Source organism: Homo sapiens, chromosome 1, assembly GCF_000001405.40.
Source record: "Homo sapiens chromosome 1, GRCh38.p14 Primary Assembly".
Classification (NCBI taxonomy): domain Eukaryota; kingdom Metazoa; phylum Chordata; class Mammalia; order Primates; family Hominidae; genus Homo; species Homo sapiens.
In genome coordinates this window covers 79520716-79537278 of record NC_000001.11, presented here as the reverse complement: position 1 = coordinate 79537278, position 16563 = coordinate 79520716, and the positions used below count along the sequence as shown (strand labels likewise).

General features: G+C 34.7%; 1 pseudogene; it reads right to left on the bottom strand.

Annotated features, from left to right (window-relative positions):
- On the bottom strand, nt 14811-16212 carry ADH5P2 (ADH5 pseudogene 2; annotated as a pseudogene).

Sequence of the window (16563 nt, the reverse complement as noted above, 5' to 3'; positions counted from 1 at the left end):
CAGAATAGAGAACCAAGAAATAAAGCCACACACCTACAGCCACTTGATCTTTAACAAAGTTGGCAAAAACATGCACTGGGGAAAGGACATCCTATTCAATAAATGGTGCTGACACAATTGGATTGCCATGTGCAGAAGAATGAAACTGAACCCCTACATCTCACCATATGCAGAATTAACTCAAGGTGCTCTCAATGAAGAGGTTGAAAATGTTGGGGAAAAAATTAACTCACAATGGATTACAGATTTAAATATAAGACCTGAAACTATAAAAACAATGGCAGAAAACCTAGTAAAAACTCTTCTGGACATTTTTCTAGGCAAATAATTCACAACTAAGAGCTCCAAAGCAAATGCAACAAAAACAAAAAGAGGCAAATGGCAAATAATTAAACTAAAAAGCCTCCGCACAGCAAAATAAACAATACATCAAGTGAACAGACAACCTGCAGAATGAGAGAAAGTAGCGCTAACTATGCATCTGACAAAAGATTAATATACAGAATCTACAAAGAACTCAAAGAACTTAACAATAAACAAATCAAAATAATCCCTCTAAAAAGTAAAAAAGGACATGAACAGACGTTTTTCAAAAGAAGACATACAAATGGCTAACAGGCATAATAAAAAATGCTCAACATTAATTTTCATCAGAGAAATGATAATTAAAACTACAATACAATACCATCTTACACTGTCAGAATGGCTATTGCTAAAAAGTCAAAAGCTAACAGATGGTGGTGAGGATGTAGAGAAAAGGTAATGCTTATACACTGTTGGTGGGGATGTAAATTAGTAATACTCTATGGGAAACAGGAAAGCTAGTTCTCAAAGCTAGCTCTAAAAATAGACCTACCATTTGATCCAGCAACCCTGCTACTGTATATCTAACCTAAAGAAAATAAATCATATTAAAAAGAAATCTGCAATGGTATCTTTAATAGCAGCACTATTCACAGTAGCAAAGATATGAAATCAACCTAAGTGTCCAACAACAGATGACTGGATAAAGAAAATGTCTATATCTATATCTATATCTATATCTATCTATTACTCCATTGTATGTGATATATGTACACATCACATACAATGGAATAGTATTCAGCCATAAAAAATTATGTGTTTTGCAGCAACATAGATGGAACTGCAAGGCATTATCTTAAGTGAAATAACTCAGAAACAGGAAGTCAAATACTGCATGTTCTCATTTATAGGTGGGAGTTAAATAATGTGTAAGCTTGGACATAGAGTGCAGAATAATAGGCATTGGAGACTCATAAGGGTGCAAGGGTGGGAGGGGGCTGAGGAATGAGAAACTACCTAATGGATACAATTTACACTATTTGGCTGATGGTGCCACTAAAAGCCCAGACTTCACCACTAAGCAATATATCCATGTAACAAAACTGCCCTTGTACTCCCTAAATGTATACAAATATTTAAAAAGAGCTTTTAAAAACAAGAAAATGATCTGTGGAAATGTAAAGTTCTTCCTTATCTTTTAAGAATTTGTGTACTTTCCATAGAAATGTATTTTACATGTTATTTAAAATTTATATACCCTTTAATGTCTAAAATGACTAATTAAATAATTACATTAGGCATGAAGCAGGAAGAAATGATAGTAATATAATAATGATAACAAAAGATGTCATAGTCTTGAAAATTAAAAAACATAAACTTCATTTTTGTTTTGCATTATCTTTTTAGACATCTTTGAAAAACTTATTCATATTTCAGTGTTCTGAGAATTATAGCTATTAGGATAGAAAATGCATTTTACAAGATAGCTAATAAATTTGATTTATATTATATATTATAGTTAATGCATATATATTCAGGGTTGTCCCTGTGAATTTACATTATTCATAACATTTACTTGATAATGTCAGCTCAGTGATAATTAGCTTTGCCAAAAATTCAGCACAAATGATTTTTGGAAAGAAGCACAACCTATTGATCCAACATACATTCAAAAATAAAGAAGAAAGTGTAGCATACTTATAACAAGTAGCAGATGTACACACACACACACACACACACATACACACACATATATATTAGAGCAACATGATTTTAAATTACAATAATTCAGCAGTGTCATGTGGCTCCCCCTAAAATGTTTTTATTATATAATTTAGTCCAATCTGAAAATATGAAAATAAAATGTTTAGATGATAGTCCCAGAATATTGAATTCTCTGCTATGTATATATAGTGGATTAAAGGTGATTATAAATTTCTTATCACTTCTTCCATTGAGAAATGAAGTCTGAGAATGAAGCAAAAAAATTACATTTTGTAACTTTGAGCTTGCGTCTGAAGAGATCTACAGATTCTGCATTGGCACTCTTAAAACACTTTCTCTTGAAAACCAGCTGCCATGCTGATTTGACTTCATTAAGTCACAATATGAACAATATGACTTAACAATATGTTAAGTCACAAGGTGACTTAACAACATACCAGGTGACAAAAGAACTGTTTCATGCAATGGTTGTTTTGAGGGTGATATTACCTGTTATCCTGAACACAGTCCTGTTATTTATTACCAATGATAAAATTATAAAAGGCTAAACATGATTAATAATGAAGTCAAATGAGAAGGCCTCACTCCATCAAAGAACATGTGGAAGGGAACTGTCACACTCTTATTGTTAGACCCAGCTGAGCTACTCACAGAGTGCCAGCACCAGCTACTAGTCACAAGAGTGAGTCTTTGATATTCCAGTCCAGTCGGGCCTCCCAATGATTTTAGTGCCAGCTGAAATCACATAGAGCAGAATAACCACCCAGCTGATTCAAGTCAAACCACAGGAAAATGAGAGATTAAAAATAGTTATTTTGTTTTATCACTAAGAGTTAGTGGTTTGTTACATGGTAATAGATAACTAAAGCAATCTTGAAAGGTTATAGACAAAATGGAGTGCGTTTGCAGAAGTCTAAGCTTTTATATCATCCTGACCCTATGTTATTATATTTTCAGCCAGAAAACTCAACCCTGCTTAAATTTTGCATTAGTCTTGAGTATGGTTGGCAGCCTGTAATAATCTCATATGTATTAGCATGGGATCTGAGATTAGTGTTAATGCTGTCAGCTTGGTGTCAAATATGGCATGTGTCCTTAACTCTCCTCTATGCCACATTGCTTTAGTCAGGTCTTTGTAGCAGAGTCTCTGGATTAGCTTCTGATGAGCACTATAATGCTCTATTGAGACTTCTGAGTCCAAATAGAACTTCTCAGTTCTATTCTGAGTCCAGAAATATGGCTGGGGCCTGGAACCTGCCTAACACTTTTCAGGCTTGTCCCTGTGAACGTACATTATTTCCTACATTTCTTTTGATTAAATGATGGTCTAGTCTAAATGGAATCAGAGCATGACAAAAAAAGAAAGTGGAATAAAACCTCTGAGAATCTCTGCGATTCAGAAGAATATGAACAAAGAAATGCCAGTAAGGTAAAATAAGAAAATCGAGAGAAAGTAGTGTTATTGAGGTCAAGGGACGATCCACAGGGCCAAATTTTTAGAAAGGTTAAAGATGATAAACAACAAAAACCAAAAATTGGAGCAATTAATGAGAAGAGAGTAGTAAGAAAGTCAAGAAAGCAAGAATAAACCAATATTTCAAGACAATTAGCAGAGAAAAAAAAGTTATAAAAATAGAAAATAAAATAAACCACCGAAGTGCATGGTTTATCAAATACATAAGAGCTTCTCAGAAGAGATCAGTTATAAATGATGCAAAAATATATCTGAGTGTGGAATAATGAATTTTAGATGCACAATTTACAACATGAAGTATTTAACTTAAGGAATATGCTATTATAAATTCCTAAAAGATATTGGCATTGCCAGAACAGAGAACACATGGACTATTTAGAAGCCACATCTGGGTAGTTTTCATTTATTTTCATCTGAAGGTACAGCCAAATTCATCTTAAGCATTTTGTTGTATAATTTTATATGATTTGAGTATGTATTGGGTACAGTCAAGGGAAATATATAATTAAAACTTGGTTATGGTCTCACTTGAAACCGTGTATTTCTTAAAAAAAAAAAAACAAACTAATTTATCATGTCAATATCATACACAATTGTCAGTGATCTTAAAATGTAATGTTCAAGCTTCTCATTCTACCTGAGTAGTGTTAGAATGCAGAACACACAGAATATTTTGTTTATCTCAATACTTGGTATTACTCATTGATCAAGAATTGCTTTGCATCCACTGAAGGATCATGAAGTTCAGAGTTTGCAAGCAATAGAGCAATGCCATAGTATTCATTTAGATTTTTTTTCTTGGAAGAAAGAACTATAGAATCCCCATGTTTATGAAGTTGGGAAAACATACAAAATTGAGCAATACAAAGCAATTTACCCTCAGAAATAGTTTGTGAACATCTTTGTAGATTGCTTTCAGTCTCCAATTAGAAGTGCTTCTTCTGCAGATTAACTTCTGCTAACAGTATTATAGCTAAGTTCAATGTGAGTAGCAGTTTCCTTTCACGTAATAAATGTTTAGATGTGAAACCCTCTGTTTTTACAGTCAGGTACTTCCTGGTAAACGGTGACTAGAAATTTCAGGAAGTATTTCAAGAGGCCAAGTCCAAGAAAGAGTGGGCCAAGGCTTCGACTACCTGTTTTGTTTAAATATAATCGGAAAACTTAGAAAAATACCTCAAAGGAATTTAGACGTTTTTCACTTGTTTGTGATTAAAAACAAATTTTAAAAGACTTCTTTAACTGAAGACACTTAATTAAAGCTAAAGAAGAAAGCTAACCACTTAACAGCAGGGGTACCATGGATACAAATGCTTCATTAATTGGATAAAAGAGGAGAAGAAAAACCTTTCCAAAAATATTACTATGTGTTTCTGAACACATTTTATTAAGTGTATTTTTAAATCAACGCTCAGCATAGACTAGGGTGTGACCTCCCATAACCATGGCTTCAAAATACTTTTAGATAACGCATCAAATTAAGAAGTGGATGGAAATGAGAATGTATTTTGTTATAATGATAGAGCGAAAGGACATTATCTGCTCACGTGTGTAGCACTATAGTACACTACAAAACAAAGACTATTCATTCATTCAATCAACGATTCTTTCCCATCTTATCTATAATGTCTGTGGCCCTGTGCTAGGTGCTAAGTATAGAGGGGCCAACTATAAAGACACATGGGCAGTTCCAGTTTAATGAGATTAGTACCATAACCCAAGTGGGTACAAAAGGGGCCTGAAAGACCAAGGTGACTCAATTAACCCGGACTTGAGAGGACAAAGAACACTCTTCTAAGGAAGCTACTTCCATGCTTACAGCTAAGAATGAAGAGGAATTAAACTGCCAAAGAAGGAGGGAAAGGCATGTTACACTCAGAAAGAATGGTGTATACACAGGCCAGAATGCAGGGAGAGCCTGGAGACTTGGGGAAGTGCAAGTGAGTCCATGTGACTGGAAAACACAGAATAGGGGGTGGGGAGTGAAGGTGGGAGCAGAGACTGAAGGCAGAGGCAGGAGTCAGTTAATGATAGGCCTCATAAGCTATGTTAATGAGAGTTATTTTACTTGAAAAATAGAAATGTATGTAATCCAAGTCAACAACCGTAGGTTTTTAGACAGTGGGTTCTATTTTTTAAATATTGCTACACGTGTTTATAAACTATATGAGAAACACAACTAAATGTACAAAATCCACTTTTACATCTATCCAAAGAAGAAATGGACTGGAAAAATTAGCAAGGATATCCTCATACGAGGTGACTTAACAACATACCAGGTAACAAAACAACCATTTCATGCAATGGTCATTTTGAGGGTGATATTACCTGTTATCCTGAACACAGTCCTGTTATTTATTGCCAATAATAAAATTATAAAAGGCTAAACATGATTAATAATGAAGTCAAATACTCCAGAATAAGAATTTTCAAGGAAGATGGAAAGCCAATTTTGTATAAAGAATACAGTCTCACTGTAGATGTGTGAGAAGTCTTGAGGCACATCATGGCAGAGACAACTTTTTTATAGGAAAGGGAGCAGAATAGTCTGTACCATGCCCCTTCCAAAAAAAAAGTTTTTGTAATAGTGATATTATATGCATTATTGGCAAAGCATAACTTTGCCTACTTAGCAAAATAATAATAATAATAATAATAATAATAATAATAAACAAATGGTGCAAATCTTCATTCACCTATTCTTGAAGAAAGAAATAGTCAGAAAATGAGAGAAACTTTCATTTTCACTCACTTGCCAAGATGTTTAAGGAAAAATTCTAGTTTACACAATAATGGGGGAAAATATCGCACTAGCATCTAGTGCATTAACTTGATGAAATGAAAGCAGTCAGTGTACTGGTAATACTAAAGGAAGAGGATGAAATAATAATAAGCTAATGATAACAGAATGAATTCTTTAAGGCATAAAAGGTTTAACTTTTGGTACACTAATCACTAATGGAAGCAATGATAATTTCCCCCTCCAACAAGATATGCCATAAATATCACCTGATAAGCCTCAAACTATATTTTAACTTTAAGAGCTGGATTTTTCCCAAAGATACTCAGCCACATAATGCTATGTATCTTTTAAGATCAGCTATTGCACATGTGCCGAAGAAGATATTATAAGATTTGCAGAAAAAGCAGTTATGCTTTGGAGATAAGAATCCTGCTTTCAAAGGAAGCAGGCTCGCTTCAATGTTCTTCAGTTTATTCTTTTTTAAAAAAAGCTGTAAATATTATTCTCTTGTGGACTAGACTGATACTGATTTTATATATTTTATAACCATTACTTATGACATAATCCAAATTTTAGAGATGTATTACAAATTTTCTCCACTTTGCAATGCTAGTTATTTTTATCGAAATTGAGCATAATCTTTGAATGGCTTCTTTATATAGATGTTCCTATTATGGTGTAAGGCCTGAAGACATTCCCTTCTGGGTTTTGCCATTTATAGTTCTCTCTTTTTTAAAAATCTTTTTATTCACTGCATCATGATCATGCAAAGACAAGGGAAATAACAGTTTTCTGTTGTGACACCAAGACAAACTACTTTCAGTTTAAATATACTCCTGGCTAGAAAAATGCAATAAACCATGGTATCTATGGAAATTCACTAAACAGTTCTTGAAGTTAAATTGAGGAATTATACATGGACACAAGCAGAGAGCGTTTGAGTGAGTGATTGCATTTTTTCCTTTGAGAACAATAAGAATACTTCAAAATTTTCTAGACCAACTCTGTGATGTTGGGAAACATAGTTAATTTCAGTAAATCTATTAAAGCCTGGAGAAAAAGAGAATCAATAAAAAATGCAAATCAGTCTACATATGAAGCTTTCCCTGAGAATATATTTTGGTAAGCAAAGTTCTCTGGCTTTCAAATATTTATAAGAAAGTATCTAAAGCCCCAAATATGACTATAAAGAATGCCAATTAGTTGTTGGTTTTAATTATCTTATGTACCCAAAATTATTCTCACGTTCATAATATCAGAGTACCTCTTATCTGTTTCTTATACAGATTATTCATCATTTGATCATTATACATATCTACCATTATTACCAGCACTTGCTGTGATGTTAATGAGATAAGGAAGTTAAACAGTAACTTGTCTTTTCTTTACAATATTTGAAATGAATGATATACTATTTATGGCAGAAAAAGCAAGGCATCATTGACCATAGTGAAAAAAATAGTTGCTAAGACAGACAACTAATTATTTTGAAAAATATACATATCTGTTGCTAAGAAAAAGTATCCCGATTGGCAAAAGCCAAGTTACCAAAATCAATATCTTAACTTCTGTAAAAGGATGTTAAAAAATGAGAAATTAAAACATGTTAAAACAGAAAAAAACCCTGATAATCATAATATTAAGAAAAACAAAATAAAAATAAAGAAAAGGAAGGGAGGAAGGAAGGAAGGAGAGAGAGAAAGAAGAAAGGAAGGAAGGAAGAAAGAAGAAAGAAAGGAAAAGAGAGAGACAGGAGAGAGAGAGAAGAGAGAAAGAGAGAAAGAAGAAAGAAAAGGAAAGAAAAGGAAAGGAAAGAAAAGAAAAAACAAAAGAAAAGAAAGAAAAGAAAAGAAAAGAAAAGAAAAGAAAAGAAAAGAAAAGAAAAGAAAAGAAAAGAAAAGAAGAGACTTCTATTCCAACCAGATATACTGCCATTTCAGGTGTGATGCTTAGTTTTATCTGTCTACTTACCTACGCTACAGTGCCCAGTTATTCATTACACAGTAACTTAGATGTTGCTGTTTAGATATGTTATAGATATGGCAAAAATCTACAATCCAGTTCACTTTCAGTAAAGATTACCCTTCAATGGTATGTGTGGGCCTTATCCAATCAATTGAAGGCCTCAAGAAAAAAACCCTGAGATTTTCCTGAGAAGAAATTCTGCTTCAACCCTGAAGTGTCAACTTCTGCCTGCTAGCCTACCATACAAATTTCACAACCACATGAGATAATTCCTAAAAAAAATAGTATCTGTAAATATGCCTACATGTTTATATATGTGTTCATGTATATATGTTGTGTTTTTGTGTTATGTTATTTGTATGTGTGTATATATGTGTGTGTGTATGTATGTGTATACATAAAATTGTTTTTGAACTCTGACTGATAGACTACAGAAGGTAAGCCTCTCTCAATGCTCTCCTTATGCTATTCAGGAAACCCTTCCCTGGTATCAGGATCTGATGGAGAAAATTTGCTCACAAGTTTTATTGAGAAGAGAAATTTCATCTGACATATATAACCAGCTGTTTCTACATAAAAATGTTTTAGTGGCTGGATGTGGTGGCTCACACCTGTAATCCCAGCACTTTGGGAAGCCGAGGCAGGTGGATCACCAGGTCAAGTGTTCGAGACCAGCCTGGACAACATGGAGAAACCCCGTCTCTACTAATACCAAAAAAAAAGAAAAAAAATTAGCCGGGCATGGTGGCACATGCCTGTAATCTCAGCTACTCAGGAAGCTGAGGCAGATGAATCTCTTGAACTTCGGAAGTGGAGGTTGCAGTGAGCCGAGGTCGTGCCATTGCACTCCAGGCTGGGTAACAGAGCGAGACTCTGTCTCAAAAAAAAAAAAAAGTTTTAGCTTCCATAGTTGTTTAATTAATAGTTTCAAATTATTTTATTTAATTCATTTTTCAAAAGATCTGTACAATTCTTGTGTAACTACCTGACAACATGACTTATTACGTATTTTCACAAAAGATACTGAGGTTCAGATATACTTTTGATCCTCACAGTTTTCTTTCTGAAGATCAGAAGGGTGGAGCTTAAATTGATTCTCATTCTCCCCATTCCCACAAGACAGTCTCACAGATAAATGACAAGAACAGAAATAACTATCAATATTTTCTACCATTTTTGGGAACTCATCTGAATGTGCCTATATAATATAAGTACAAATTGTTTAACAATTGCCATAAAAGTAAACCATGTTATGTAAAAACACCTATTGTTGAAAATATTTATGTGTGATATATTTATATAAGTATATATTAAAATGTGGACATCATATTAGGGTATCATATCCTAAACCTCAAATGATGTGCTAGTGTTCTAGCACTTATAAAGTACTATACAGTAACTAAGTTTAACTGGGTGGTTTAAAAAGGTGCCAAATGGGTGACTGAACGTGACAGACCTTAAGGAACAGGTAGATCTTAGGCAACCACACATAGGATTCAGGGGCACACTGAATCTGGGAAAAGTTACAGGCAATGATTCAGAACTTGTTAAAAAAACATTGGGATGTTTAGGGAGCATAAGTAGGCCATCACTAAGGAGGTCAGAGCAAAAGAAAGTTTCATATTTTGCCATTTTAAATGCAACAAACAACACACAACACAACACAAAACTGTATGCCCATCATTCAGGCTCCCTGGATGATAATACAGTTTGCACTGAATGCCATCACTAAAGGAAGGTTTACTCAAAAAAGAAGTTGGTATAAATTGCAATAAACAGCAACACTTTAAAATAATTGTCTAATCAATATTAATTCCTCTAGTATCTATTTAACAGCATTAATCACAGTGAACCCATTTAGTATTAATGTGAATGTCACAAGTAATTCAATTGGATTTCCACTGTAATTCAACATTAATTACCTTAACAGGGCCGTTATTTTACGACGTTACCCAGTAAACATGAAAATAAAAGTAATAAAATCATGCATGAAAGATTTATAATGTAGTGCTATATGTTATATCTATGTATAATAAACTGTTTTATTCATTTGAAATAGCTCATCGAAGGACTGAATTTATTAGTGGAATATACACACTCCTACATGCCCACAAAACTATGACATCTCACTTATCTATATTGGTCAAGAAAAGTTGTCTTGTGAAGATATTGTCAAATATTGAGATTTCCCATTTAAATTCTAACACTTAGTAAAACATGTTATTTTAACTATTAACTCCCTATCTGCAAAGAGAGATGTGAACACATTTTTCTGTGTATTGTGATGGTATGGATGCTCATTGGTCAAGGTTTTTTTTTTTCCAGCTCTCTCATTACCAGGTTATCAGCTCTTATATTCCACTCTTGTGTAGGAACTTAATTTAGCTGTCTTCTCCCCACTTTTAATTGTATTCTTCCATTATGCTGAAATCTTAGAAAAAGGAAAAGGAAGAAAGGAAAGAATGGAGGAAGAAAAGATAGAAACATGTTTCAAGTGTGTGTGAGGTGTGAATCAGCAGCCCCTAACAGACACAATGAGGGCCTCTTCCAGGTATAAATATGATCTCTCATGCACTGATTATATATCAGATATTTTAGTTCTGAAAATCTTAAATTTCCTTGACTTTCAGATTGTGCTCTAGGAAGTTAAGATTTCCATATCCTGATTTCAAGTTAAATTCTTCTGAGATATATCACAAAATGTAAATGATATATCTAACAATTTATTTTACATTTCTAGTTTGTATATAAGTACTCAAGAGAGCACGTTTTATTCAACTCTGCATATTCCATAGCACCAAGTGCAGTGTTTTACACAATTAACATTCACTAGAGGGGAAGAAAAACAAAGAAGAAAAAGTTTACTCTTTTCCTCATTGGGGGTGCAAAATAAACATGCCAATTACCTAGTAAATCACTCATTTATATGTATTTTTATACCACACACTATATAATGCCATATACTACATGACCTCTTTCTATAGGTCTTGGAAACAATACTTTAAAAAAGTACTTTAAATGAAATCTTACATGAAGCCTTCATATCTTAAAGAAGAATCAGACACTTGATTGAAATGGCGGCAATGGAACCTGAAACCCCACAGCTAGCCCTTCCCTTAAGGATGACAGCAGCCCATAGGGAACCTCCAAGGAACCTCAGGGCTTAAAGAAATGACTTGAAAACAGGGGGCAGTGCTATCAGATTCAAATCTGAGTAAAAATTGAGCTATAGAGCTCTGAGCTGTTGGGTGTACAACCTAACTTTTCTGAGCCTGAATTTGTTTGGCTGTAAAAATGAGATTAAATATTTCTACTGATGAGTGTTGTTGTGAGAAGCAGAATAAGAGATATAATTACTATTATTTTGTATTTTTATTATTGTTTGTCACTCATTCATTTAATAAAAATTTATTTAACGCCATTTTGTTTCAAGAATAATTTTAAGCTTTGAGGATAAAGCAGTGAACAAAAGAGACCAAAGGCCTGCCCACATGGAGCTTATTTCTAGCAGTGGAGACTGACACGGATAAGATACAGATAAATGATAGTTTCACATAGTTCTAAGTCATATAAATAAAACAAACTAAAGAATTGTGTTTGTCTTTCTAGTATTTAGATAGGGGGCTCAGGGAAAGCATTTCAGATAAAGTGAGGTAGAGAACCACGTGGATATGAGGGGAAGGGTATCCTTGGTAGAGGGAACGGTGACAAGGTACCGAGGTGGGAACATTCAGGATATATTGGAGGATCATAATTGGAGGTTGGAGAGGACTGAGGGATAGGAGCGGAGGTCACAACATTATTAGAGATCCATACGGTATAAAACTTTAGGTCATCTTAAGAACTTTGGATTTGACTCTGAGTTAGATAGAAAGATATTGGATGATATCGAACAGAGATGTGCATTCATTTAACTTACAAGTTGAACATCACTCTGCCTGCTACATGGGAGAGAGACTGAAATGGGAGGCAGCAAGAATGAAGGAAAGAGATTAACAAGGCTCTGCTTTAGGAGACGATGCTGCTTCGACTTGGGAGCTCGTGATGGAATTGGAGAAATATATATGTATATGTTGGAATATATATATATATAATAGTTGGAATTGTGATACATATGTATTTATTATTAAACAATAAATTATATTTCATGATATAATAAACACACACACACACACACACCCCTTGAACCAGACAAGATTCTATCTGTATTGATGCAGAATTAAAGCTCCAAGAAAATCCTTCATCTTTCCGTTTTCCTCATATGGCATTGCATTTCCCACTGGCATCATTCCTCATACATGGGTACTCCTACTCGAGTATCAGAAGCATAATTGAACTCTCTAAGCCTTCTTTGCGTTATTTGTAAAATGCTCAGCTTTGCTTTTTAGGTGAGAGTGAATCTAATGAAGGAGTTGGAAACGCTTTGAAAACTATAAAAATGTCCACAGTTGTCAGGTACAATCAATATATTATAACCGATTACATTATATTATGCTTTATGATTACATAAATGTTAATTTGTGATTCTTGGGGTCCTCATCACCTACTAACATCTCCATTTCCACTCACTTCAATCTGTTGTTTCTTTTCCAGTGTATGGCTGTATATGAAAAATAATGTCATTTGAGCTCTAATGTACTTCTTCTACCTCAGGAGAATGTGTTGTGGGACAGGTTGTAGGTACATCTGTTGAGGGAGCCCTCTCCAAACCCAGAATAACTACGACATTGCAATATGACATAACAGACCACAGATGGGATAGTGTTATTGTCTTTCATGCATATGAGTATGTTGGAAAATATGTTTCTTCATTGTGTTTCATAGCTTGCCAGTAGCAGCTAGACTTTTTTTTTTTTTTGGTCTAGTGGGTGGTGCTATACAACTTTTATAATTATCCCCTCTGTGTTTCTTATGGCCTTATCCAATTTATATAATTTTTTCTGTTCTTATTGTTATGCTCTTCTAACTTGTTTTTTTTTTGTTTTGACACCTAAGTTCCACCAAGTTTCCCAATATGATGCATATTGCATGTTAAAATGATTTCTATGATCCAGTCAGAAGACCATTACATTTGAACTTTTTCTACAAGTGGTGATAGATGCTTTTTTGCATCTTCTGAACAATTTGGCCGGCCCTATTTATAGTTAATGAAAAATTTATGAAACCCTAGCTAAGACAGATTAATGTCATGAAACATTTTTTTTGCCTTTGTTTATATTATAAACCTATTTGATAAGGAGAATAAATTAACATGTTAGATGATGTTACTTTTTGAAAAAATTGCAAACTTTCCCTAGAGCAATTCAGTTGTCATGACATTTCTATTTTTAGGTTGGTATCTTTTGATAATCTCTTCATACTTTGCATCTAGTTTTTCTTTCATCATGGAAAAGACTATTCAGACTGTCATTGAAATGTCTGAAACACATTTACATTGTTTTATTTTGGAACAGCACAGTTGAGACATAATTCATATACCTTACAGTTCACACATTTAAAGTATTCAATTCAATGGTTTTTAGTATATTTACAGAGTTGTATCAACATCACCATAGTCAATTTAGAATATTTGGGGTGATTGTCATGACCCCAAAAAGAAACTTCATATCCTTTAACAGTTACTCTCTGTTTCGCCCCAGTATCAGGCAAACACTAATCTACTTTCTGTTTCTATAGATTTGGATCTTCTGGACATTTCTTATAAATGCAATAATATATGGTCTTTTGTGATAGCCTCTTTCACTTAGTACAAAGTTTTGAGATTCATCCATGTTGTAGCAAGTATCAATACTTCCTTTTTATTGCCAGATACTATCCCATTGTGTGGATATGTGTCATTGTATTTATTCATTCATAAATTGATGGATATCTGAGAATTTATCTCTATATTGCTATTATGAATAATGGCACCATACGCATTTATGTCCAAGTTTTCATGTGGACATATATTTTCATTCCTTTTAGGTATATACCTAGGGGTACAATTGCTGAGTCAAATGTTAAATCTATTTTAACTCAAATGTTAACCTTAGGAAGAATTTCTGGATAGTTTTGCAAAGTGGCTGCACCATTTTACATTCCCACCAGCAATATGAGGAATAGACTTTCTCCCCATCTTAACCAACACTTGTTATTATCTGTCTTTTTAATTTTAGTCAATCTAATGAATGTGAGATAGTATCTCATTGTGGTTTTGATTTGCATTTCCCTAATGGCTAATAACATTGGACACATTTTTTAAATTGTATTTATTTATTTATTTATTTATTTGAGACAGGATTTCGCTCTTGTTGCCCAGGCTGGAGTGCAATGGCACAATCTCAGCTCACCACAATCTCTGTCTCCCAAGTTCAAGCAATTCTCCTGCCTCAGCCTCCCAAGTATCTGGGATTACAGGCATGCGCCACCACGCCTGGCTAATTTTGTATTTTCAGTAGAGACAGTGTTATTCCATGTTGGTCAGGCTGGTCTCAAATTCCTGAACTCAGGTGATCCACCCACCTAGGCCTCCCAAAGTGCTGGGAGCACAGGCATAAGCCACTGCACCCAGCCTGGACACATTTTTTGTGCTTATTGGCCATTTGTATGTCTTTTTTTTTGGTAGAAATTACTTTTATTATGTTAAAATATTCCTTAATGAGCTAGCAATTATTTATGTGGAGGATGGTCCAGAAAACAGGTTCATGACTAAATTATCCTTGTCCTTGATTACAGAAATTCATGAATTACACACATCACACTATTCTCTGGAGTAGCTGCTGAAGGTCTGCGAGGCTGTGAGCTTGGAGGAGCTTCTCCCTGCCTGTTAGGCTGCTCCCATCAGATCACGACAAGATGGATGTTATTTTTCTCTTTGGAATTAAATCTTGACAACAGTTCGAATGCTCTTTCCAGAATGCATGAGTTCAAAGGCTTTGTTAATTTCATCAAAAGACAGATTGTGAGTCATAAACTCATCAGCTTTTATCTTTTTGGACATATATTCAGACACCAACTTTGGGACACTTTCTATACTCTTCCATCCTCCAATGGCAATGCCTTTCCATGTGCGACCTGTTGCCAGCTGGAATGAATGAGTGGCAATTTCTCCACCTGAAGCAGCTACTCCAACCACCACATTGGTGCCCTAGCCCTGGTGACATGCCTCAAGTGCTGCTCTCATGACCTTCACATTACCAGTACATTCAAAGGAATAGTCCACTCCTCCATCAGTGCTCATTATCTCAATGAGCACTTCCTGGGTGGGTTTACTAAAATCCTGAGGACTAATGCATTCAGCGGCTCCAAGTTCTTTGGCCCTTGAAAATTTATCTTTATTGATGTCCACACCAATGATCTGGGATGCACCAGTCACTTTACAGCCCATGGTAACCCCCGATCCAAATCCTCCCAGGCCAAAGATGGCACAAACAGAGCCAGGCTCCAGCTTGGCAGTGTTCACAGCAGGACCATAACCAGTTGAAATGCCACAACCTAGAAGGCCAACTTTATCCAAACGTGCTAAAGGATCTATTTTGGAAACAGAGATATCAGCCACAACTGTGTATTCAGAAAATGTGCTGATTCCCATGTAATGTAAAATTATCTTTCCTTTGCAAGTAAATCTGCTGGTACCATCTGGCATTAATCCTTTCCCTTGTGTGACTTTATCTTCTGGCAAAGGTTAGTTTTAGGATTTAGACAAAATTTGCATTCTCCACACTGTGGGATGTAAAGTGAGATGACAGTGTTACCCGCCTTCAGCTTAGTAACTCCCTCACCAACACTTTTCACAATTCCAGCACCTTCATGTCCCAAGATCACCGGAAAACAACCCTCAGGACCAGCTCTGCTCAGGGTATAGGTGTCAGTGTGGCAAACCACAGTGGCAACAATCTCAATTTGAACTTCATGAGCCTTTGGGGGTGCCACCTCTATCTACTCTATGGAGAGAGGCTTTCCAGCCTCCCAGGCAACTGCAGCCTTGTACTTGATAACCTGGTTTGCCATGTCCACGGGTTCTATCCATTTGTTTATCTTTTTTGGAGAAATGTCTATTCAGATGCTTTCTACATTTAAAAATTATATTATCTGTCTTTCTAAAATAATTGAGTTATAAATATTCTTCATATATTCTAGGTAAAAGCACCTTATCAAATATTTTACTAGCAAAATTTTTCTCCCATTCTGTAGGTTGCCTTTTCACCTCCTTTATGATATCTTATAAACACAAAAGATTTGAATTTTGATGAAGTCTAATTTATCTATTTTATTTACTATATTACTTCTGCTCTTGGTGTCACATTTAAGAAACCATTGCCTAATCCAAGGTGATGAAGAACACCTGTTTCCTTCTAAGAGTTTTATAGTTTTC